Source organism: Homo sapiens, chromosome X (genome assembly GCF_000001405.40).
Source record: "Homo sapiens chromosome X, GRCh38.p14 Primary Assembly".
Taxonomy (NCBI): Eukaryota; Metazoa; Chordata; class Mammalia; order Primates; family Hominidae; genus Homo; species Homo sapiens.
In genome coordinates, this window is record NC_000023.11 from 37,747,061 (window position 1) to 37,756,407 (window position 9,347).

A 9,347-nucleotide genomic window follows, 5' to 3' on the forward strand; every position below is an offset into this window, starting at 1 on the left:
CACATTCCTGTTGCTTTCATTATGTGGTGCATTCCCAGGTCTGATGAAGAAGAAAGAGAGGGGCAGATTGCCATGATAGTTTTGGTTGACTGCATCACTAATTTCATTGACCTGAAAAATGGGTAGCCATGGAAACTGTGGAAGGCTTGTTCTGGAAGGGCCCTACTAGCCTAGTGTTGCTATATCTTTTGTAACTTATGTTCCAGAAGTCTTCCACCTGTGGGTTACAAACTATTAATGGATCCTCATATAAATTTAGTGAATCTCAACCAAACATTTTTAAAAAGGAAATATACAAGAATCAAATACAAATGAGATATCCTACAGCACTCCTCATGTTGAGTCAAGTAACCTTTGGGAGAATTTTTGTTTCCATTCTACACAGTTATGAGTACACCGAGTCACAATATAAAATGTGTTCTTACTGTGGCTGTGGTCAAAAATGTTTGTAAACTGGCCAGGTGTGGTGGCTCATGCCTGTAATCCCAGCACTTTGGGAGGCCAAGGTGGGTGGATCACTTGAGCTCAGGAGTTCAAGACCAGCCTGGGCAACATGGTGAAACCCCGTCTCTACTAAAAAAAACAAAAAAAAAAGAGCACAAAAATTAGCTGGGCATGGTGGCATGCGCCTGTAGTCCCAGCTACGTGGGAGGCTGAGGCACAAGAATCGCTTGAACCCTGGAGACAGGTTGCAGTGAACCGAAATCACGCCACTGCATTCCAGCCTGTGCAACAGAGTGAGAACCTGCCTCAAAAAAAAAAAAAAAATGTAAACTGCTGCTAACCCAAATCTCAACTTTACCGAAAGGAAAGTTCCCCTTTTTTATTTTTCCAGAATTTATAGCACTAAATGCCCATAGGAGAAAGCAGGAGAGATCTAAAATCAACACCCTAACATCACAATTAAAAGAACCAGAGGGGCTGGGCATGGTGACTCACACCTGTAATCCCAGCACTTTGGGAGGCCAAGGCCGGCAGATCACCTGAGGTCAGGAGTTTGAGACCAGCCTGACCAACATGGAGAAACCCCGTCTGTACTGAAAATACAAAATTAGCCGGGCGTGGTGGCGCATGCCTGTAATCCCAGCTACTCAGGAGACTGAGGCAGAAGAATTGCTTGAACCTGTAGGCGGAGGTTGCGGTGAGCCAAGATCGCGCCATTGCACTCCAGCCTGGGCAATAAGAGCAAAACTCAGTAAAAAAAAAAAAACAAACAAGAAAAGAAAAAAAAGAACTAGAGAAACAAGAGCAAACAAATTCAAAAGCTAGCAGAAGGCAAGAAATAACTAAGATCAGAACAGAACTGAAGGAGATAGAATGAAAAACCCTTCAAAAAAATCAATGAATCCAGGAGCTGGTTTTTTGCAAAGATTAACAAAATAGATAGACCACTAGCCAGACTAATAAAGAAGAAAAGAAAGAAGAATCAAATAGACACAATAAAAAATGATAAAGAAGATATCACCACTGACCCCACAGAAATACAAACTACCATCGGAGAATAGTATAAACACCTCTACACAAATAAGCTAGAAAATCTAGAAGAAATGGATAATTTCCTAGACACATACACCCTCCCAAGACTAAACCAGGAAGAAGTCAAATCCTTGAATAGACCAATAACAAGTTCTGGAATTGAGGCAGTAATTAATAGCCTACCAACCAAAAAAGGCCCAGGACCAGTTGGATTCACAGCCAAATTCTACCAGAGCTACAAAGAGGAGCTGGTACCATTTAATTTTTTGATAGAGAAGTGGTAAATCATGAACTAGGCTGAAATAAATCAAACTTAGACATATGCGAGGAAGGGGACAACGCTCAGGAAGATTCCTACCTACCCTGAAGAATTCCAGAGAAACTAGAGGCATGAAGAAGGGGAAGAGTGAAACATAGGAATGAAAAGAGTCAAGTCTGTCATCCAACGGATGGAAGTTTCAGAAAGAGAGTATAGAAATAGCACATGAGAGAAAAGTGCCAGAAATTATAAGATACTTTATCTGAGCCAAATAATACAAGTCATCATATGGATAGAGTCCACAGAGTAGCCATCACCTTGAAAATAATTTCTTATGTCTAGACATATTGTTACAAAATTTCAGAACATGGAGGTTCAAGTAAATTTGCAACAGCCTCCAGAAGGGAAATATTAAAGCAAAACAAAACAAATCAAAACACAGGTAACCCATAAAGTAGCAAGAATCAAACTTGTTTCAGCAACACTGGAAACTAGAAGACCATGGACCAAGGCCCATGGACCAGGGACCACACCTGAGAGAGAAAAAGCATATGCCGTCTCTTTATGTACATATGACCATGGGAAATTTCATAGAAACTCAAAGTTCTGCCGGAAGTGGTATTCAACCTAGAATTTTTTTTTTTTTTTTTGGAGATGGAGTCTCACCCTATTACCCAGGCTGGAGTGCAATGGTGCGATCTCAGCTCACTGCAACCTCTGCCTCCAGGGTTCGAACAATTCTCCCGCCTCAGCCTCCCTGAGTATTGTGCGTATGAGATTCCTATGTTCAATGAGACTTGCTTAAATTTGCCTTAGGCCTGAGCAACATGTCTCCCAAACAGAAAGAATTTACTCTGCCTATAGTTGGGCAAGCCCTTTGGAAACATAAACATAATGATTTGAGGTAAATGCTGCCCTTCTCCACATGTAAATAATACCCATTGCATTGAAAGAGCTTTGATTTATATTTATTATACATTCTGTCTTCTAGAAACACACTAGTTAAATAACAATAAATTCAAGCAACATGAAAAAAGAAAAGATTTTTTAAATCCCATGAATATATTTCTTTTGTACTATTTTAAGAAAATTCATTCATTCCATTAGAAATAATAATACCAACAATAAAAATACGGTGGTCGGGGAAGGAGTTCCATTTTCAGTTCTGGTAGAGCAGCTTATATCACAACAACCCTCCCACTGCAAACAGCTATAAAAGCTACGTAAAATGCAAAGAACATCAAGAGGCAATAAAAGAAGTCAGGACTTTTGAGGCCCAGGTCCTAAGAGTAATAATATACATTGAGATGGGTGTGGCCTTTTTTGTTTTTCCCTGCTTAGAGTCAGATTTTTATGGATAAATAAACAAACACTGCTGGGGTTTTGATTAGGATTAAAGAATACCATTAATGAACTTGACCTAATTGATGTATGTAGAGCAATGCACTGTATAATTACAATATATAGTCTTCTCAGGTGTACTTAGAAAGTTACCAATGTTAACCATATTATGAACAATGAAACAAGTTTCAGAACATTTTAAAGGAGATTATGGTCTTCGCAGAGAATAGAATTAAATTAACTATCAGTATCAAAATGATAAATGGAAAAATCATTTAATAAATAAAAATTAGAATTGTTCTTTCTGTTATAAAGAAATTGAGGCTGTAATTCAAAACCTACTCTCATAACAAACTCCAAGTGCATTTGGCTTTACCAGCGAATTCGTTCAAATATTTAAGGAACGCATGAAATTACACCAATATTATATATGCTCTTCCCTAAAATAAGTAAGTTTTGCTACAGCTGGTCAGAGTGTAAACTGGTACCATAACTACTTCATAAACTATTTGGCATCCTATACTAAAGTTAAATCAATGTAATCTTATGATCTAGTAGCTTTACCTCTATGTACTCATAAGAAATGTGCATATATATTTACCAAAATGCATTTTCAAGAACATTCATAACAGTATTTTTAATAAATGTCCCAACAGAAGAAACCCAAATGCCATTAATAGAAAAATAATTGCATGTGTATATTCATACAAATGAAATACTATGCTATTATGAAGATAAATTAATCACTGCTTCTCACCACAACATGGATGGATGAATGAAGCCAGCCACAAAATAGTACATGCAGAATGGCTCAATTTAAATAAATTTTACTTTATATAAAAGTCACACATAGCTAATTCATGGTGAAAGAAGCCAATAACAGTGTTCACAGAGGATAATAACTATGGAGAGGCCCATATAACTCAGTTTTCTGGTAACATTTTTTCTTGTATTAACTCTGCAAATTGAATGTTGTATTAATAGTTTCCATCAGTCAAAATAGTGAGGTTCTCTTATTTCTATAAAATACTTTCAGTTTCATCCATGTTGTTTCAATGACAGGATTTCATTCTTTTTATGGCTGAATAGTATTCCATTGTGTATATATACCACATTTTCGTTTTCTATTCATCCATTGATGGAACTTAAGTTAATTCTTATCTTGGCTATTGGCTATTGTGAATAGTGCTACAGTAAACATGGTAGTGCAGCTATCTCTTCAATACTGACTTGCTTTATTTTGGATATATACCCAGTGATGGGATTCCTGGATCATATGGTACTTCTATTTTTTGTTTTTTTGAGGAATCTCCATACTGTTCTCTATAGTGGTTGTACTACTTTACATTCCCACCAACAGTGTACAATCATTCCCCTTTCTCTACATCCTTACCATTATCTACTATTTTTTGTCTTTTTGATTAAAGCCATTTTATCTGGGGTGAGGTGATAGCTCATTGTGGTTTTGATTTGCATTTTTCTAATGATTAGTGATGGTGAGCATTTTTCATATACCTGTTTACCACTTGTATGTCTTCTTTTGAGAAATGTCTATTCAGAACTGTATTAGTCCATTCCAGCATTGCTATAAAGAAATACCTGAGGCTGAGTAATTTATAAAGAAAAGAGATTTAATTGGCTCATGGTTCTGCAGGCTGTACAGGAAGCATGATGCTGACATCTGCTTGACTTCTGGGCATGCCTCAGGAAATTTACAATCATGGCAGAAGGTGAAGGGGGAGCAGACACATCACATGGCCAGAGCAGGAGCAAAAGAGGGACGGGGGAGGTTCCATACATTTTTAAATGCCCAGATCTCGTGAGAACTCACTCACTATCACCAGGACAGTACAAAGGGGATGGTACTAAACCATTCATGAGAAATCCATCCCCATGATCTAATCATCTCCCACCAGACCCCACCTCCAACATTGGAGATTACATTTTGACATGAGATTTGGGCTGGGATAACATCCAAACTCTATCAAGATCTCTTGCCCATTTTAAAATCAGATTATTTGGGCATTTTTCTTGATGTGAATACTTTATTAAATTAATGAATGCAAACCACCTATCACAGAACCTACTAGTAGGTGATGTTCGAGGAATATTGGTTCCTCTTTCCATACCTATGTGGTCATCTTGAAATTGTGTGACCTCCTTCACATAAGAACTGGGCAAGAGAATTTGGATAATTTAGTGCAGTCTACCCAAAAATTCTTAACAGGAACTCCAAGCACGTATCTGCAGGGCAGCAGCAGCAACAGACTAGCCATTCTTTCCAGGGCTTCTTCCATAGCTAAAACTCAAAGAAACATTTATGCCCATGTTTCCAAGGAGGAACATATGGCCAGACATCAGCCATGTGTTCCTCCATGTTCTGAAATATAGAAAAAGATAAACTTCCCACATGATTTTTTTTTTTATTTTGCCTCGTTTTGTCCCTTAGACTTGACAGTTGTACATTTTATCTGTGGTAAAGGGGATGCATTATTTACTTCTTCACTCAGTGAATACTTTTTCAGAGATTTTTCTCTTTCATATGAAGAGCACCCATCCCTTATTATGTGTTAATCAAACTTAATTTATATTCTCTCTCAGCATTTTTTGTGTGTTTCTAATATATATTAAAATGTGACAAGAAGGTGTTTGAAAATAAAATTCTCATTCCATTGTGGTATATATACACAATGGAATACTATTCAGCCATAAAAAGAATGAAATCCTGTCATTGAAACAACAGGGATTTAACTGCAAGTATTTTATAGAAATAAGAGAGCCTCACTATTTTGTTACGGGCTGAATTGTGTCCCCTTCAAAATTTATATATTGAAGTCTTAGCCCCTAGGACCTCTGAATGTGACTTAATTTGGTGATAGAATCTATAAAGAGGCATTTAAATTAAAAGGAAGTCAGAAGGTGAGCTCTAAACTAATATGACCTTATAAGAGGAGGAAGTTGGGGCACAGGCATGTACACACAGAGGAAAGACCATACAGAGGAAAGACCATATTAAGATAAAGGAAGAGGATGACCATCTACAAGCCAAGCAAAGGGGCCCCAGAAGGAAACCAAACATGCTGAAACCTTGATCTTGAATTTGTAGCTTCTAAAACTGTGAGAAAATAAATTTCTGTTGTTTAAAACATCCAGGCTGAGGTACTTTGTTATGGAAGCCCTGTCAAACTAATGCAACAACATTTCCTCCCATTAGATTTCTTAATTCGTGTATAGCTGGCCTGATAATGTCTTATCAGCTACCCCAACTCAATTGCTGCAAATACATTTTTAAAAGTTCTGGTGGTTGTAGTTGATTGCACACTTCTGTATGAGCCAATAATGTGAGGCAAGTCTTTAAAAGGGTAGCACAATCAGTCTGAGGTTACACCATAGATATGGTTAACCATAGTGTGGTCTCCATAACATAGGAAGTCAAGATCCCCCTTCACTCTTGACCAGTCAGATTGCACCTAGAACATTTTTCTCAATTCTGCATACCACATTTAAAGAGGAAGACAAAACCCATGCGTTGTGCAGCTACCACATGTCGAGCATCAGACTATGTGCACTGTGTACACTTAGTCCTCCCACCAACCCAATGAAGATGGTATTAATACCCACCTCCCATTGTACAGATGAGGAGACTGGGGCTAAATGAGGTCAAATAGGTTGCTCAAGGTCTTATAGCTTGTTAGTGCAGTGGTCAGGATTTGAACAAATTCTATGTAAGTTTATCATGAAACCACTTTGCAAGAAAAGAAGGGCAAACAGGGTGGGGAGGTATTTGGCTACTGAGCCACCTGGGAAGTTTGGCAAAGGTTGAGTGTGGTTCATCTAAATAAAAGGAACCAAGAAACTCTTTAAATGTATTTGAGGGACTCTTGTCTCGAACCAAGAAACTCTTGAAATATATTTGAGGGAACAGGATCAAGCAAGGACAGCTCTTCCAATTCTCCCATCTCTTCTACATTCTCTTAATTCATCTGGGCAACAACCTGGTCATCCCCATCCCCTACAAAACCTTCCCACCGGACATCTGTACTTCTCCTCCCATGGTTAATAGCCTCCCCTACACCCTCAACTATTCTCTGAACATCTCCACAACTTCATGGCCTTCTTTCCTCCAGAAGACCCCATGGCCTACAGACAGCTAAGCTACAGCAGTTGGCTCTCCAACTACTCTACATGCCATGCTATGAGAGTGGACTAGGCTATGAGAGTTGTTTTTTTCCTAGCTCCTCATTGACATTTCTATACTTTCAATCCTTCCACTGCATGCAGATCCCTGTGCCCCACTGAGGTGTGGGCCTCTCGGCTCTAATTCCCTCTGCCCCTCCTTTGTAATGGGGGTGGTCCATGTACTGCTGTGTCCTCACATGAGTTGCTTTATTAAGAACTCGGGCACTGCATTGCAGCCTGCCTCTCCTCGCTAACATTTGCCATCTTTCTGGGTGACTTCAGTGGATCCAATACCCTGCCTCAGTCATCCTTGACTTCCTCATTCAGAGATCTTCACCTCCATGGACTCCCATAGCCACACTCTGAACCCTGTCATCTCTCAGAAGTGCACTGCTTCTGAAATCTGCATCTCATACACCCATCCTCTGACTACCACCTCCTGTTCCCTGGCTTCCTAATTCACTCACACCCAAGATGACTGTCCTTCAACCTCATCAAACTTTGAGTTCTTTTTGACTCTTTGACTTTGCTCCCATCTTGTGTTCACTTCTTGGCATTCTACTCATCTTAGACTCAGTTCACTTCTGCCATTTTCTTGCACAAATCCTGAATTCTCTCATGCAGTGCCCTTCTGTACCACCTGCAGGCAAAAACCAACCCTGATCAACTCAATTGTCCTCTATACTTGCTCGTGGGTGGGTAAGAAAAGCTAGAAAAGCTACCCACAGACTCCTACCATTACTGATTTATGAGCTCCAGGCTCAACTGGGCCCTTATCTGGGCCTGGAAATCATTTTGCATTTCTACAGTCAAGTCTCCTTTCTGAACAAAAGATACAACATTGAAAACTGTCTTCTGTTTCCTGAAATGTCTACTCACTACCTCACTTTCAACAGATAACCTTGCCCTCTCTTTCACAAAGGAAATGGAAACCACAAAGAGGAAGTCCCTCACCCTGCTGTCCCCAGCCCTACAAATCCTCCTGCATCTGCACTCTGCTCCTTCCCTCTTTTTACAGAGAGGAGGCCCCTCCTGTCTAAAGCAAATTCCATTTCCTTCCTGCCTTGGGCTCAGAAATCTCACCCCATCCAAAATCTTCCATGGTTAGCCTGTCCCTTTGTTGCGACTCTTTCTCAATATTTACAAGCTCCTATATTTTTTAAAATAATAAAACTAGGTCCTCCTGGTGTTCACATGTTTTCCCAATTGTAGCCAAGTCCTCTCATTCTTATCACAGCCTCAGACATTTTGAGGTGTCTCACTACCTCACCTCAACCCACAACATCTGGCTTCCCTCATTGTTTTCCAGTAGGCCCCTTACTGGGGTCACTGTCAACTTCTTATTGTTAAACCAAGGGTCACTTATCAGCCCATTTTTATTTACACTCTTGGCATCAAATGTGTAGTACCTGAGACTCCAGTAGTTGCCAAGCCCCATAGTTGCAGATTTGCATTCTCTTCCCTGCCTGCCTTTTCTCTTCTCTATTTCAGACCCCTCTTCTTCTGCTGTCCTTCAAACCAAGATCTCCAAGCAGCGTTCTTCTTTGGGGCATCCTCCTTTCTAACTGCTGCACTCTCTTGTGACTTTGTTTACCTTATCCTTATCCATGACACCCATACCTATGTCTCCAGGCCAGATGGCCAGATGTCGTTATTGGACTCCACCTTTATGCATCCAACTAACCAGCCAATATGTCCCACTTAGAGATGGTCCCTGCCCAACTCATCTAAACTCAATCCTGTGAAAAGCTGTATTCATTCTCTTTCTCCACATAATGGTTATTCTTGCTGTGCATTTTTTCCAGGGGATGACATTATCATTAACTCAGATTCCCAAGCCAGAAACCTGAGGCCAGCCTTGGCCCCTTCCTGCCTCTCAGCCCCATTTTAGCTTATTATTCAGTCAACAATTCATGGAAATATTACTTTTGAGTCTTTCCATTTCTCTTTCTTGCCATTCTCTGTATTCTCATCTAATTCACATCACTAATATCTCTCCATGTGGTGGTGTAATGTGTATTTGCTATATTCTTTCAGAATATTCAATTATGCTGTAAAAGACAAGAAAATAAATGGGATGAATGAAATTCAT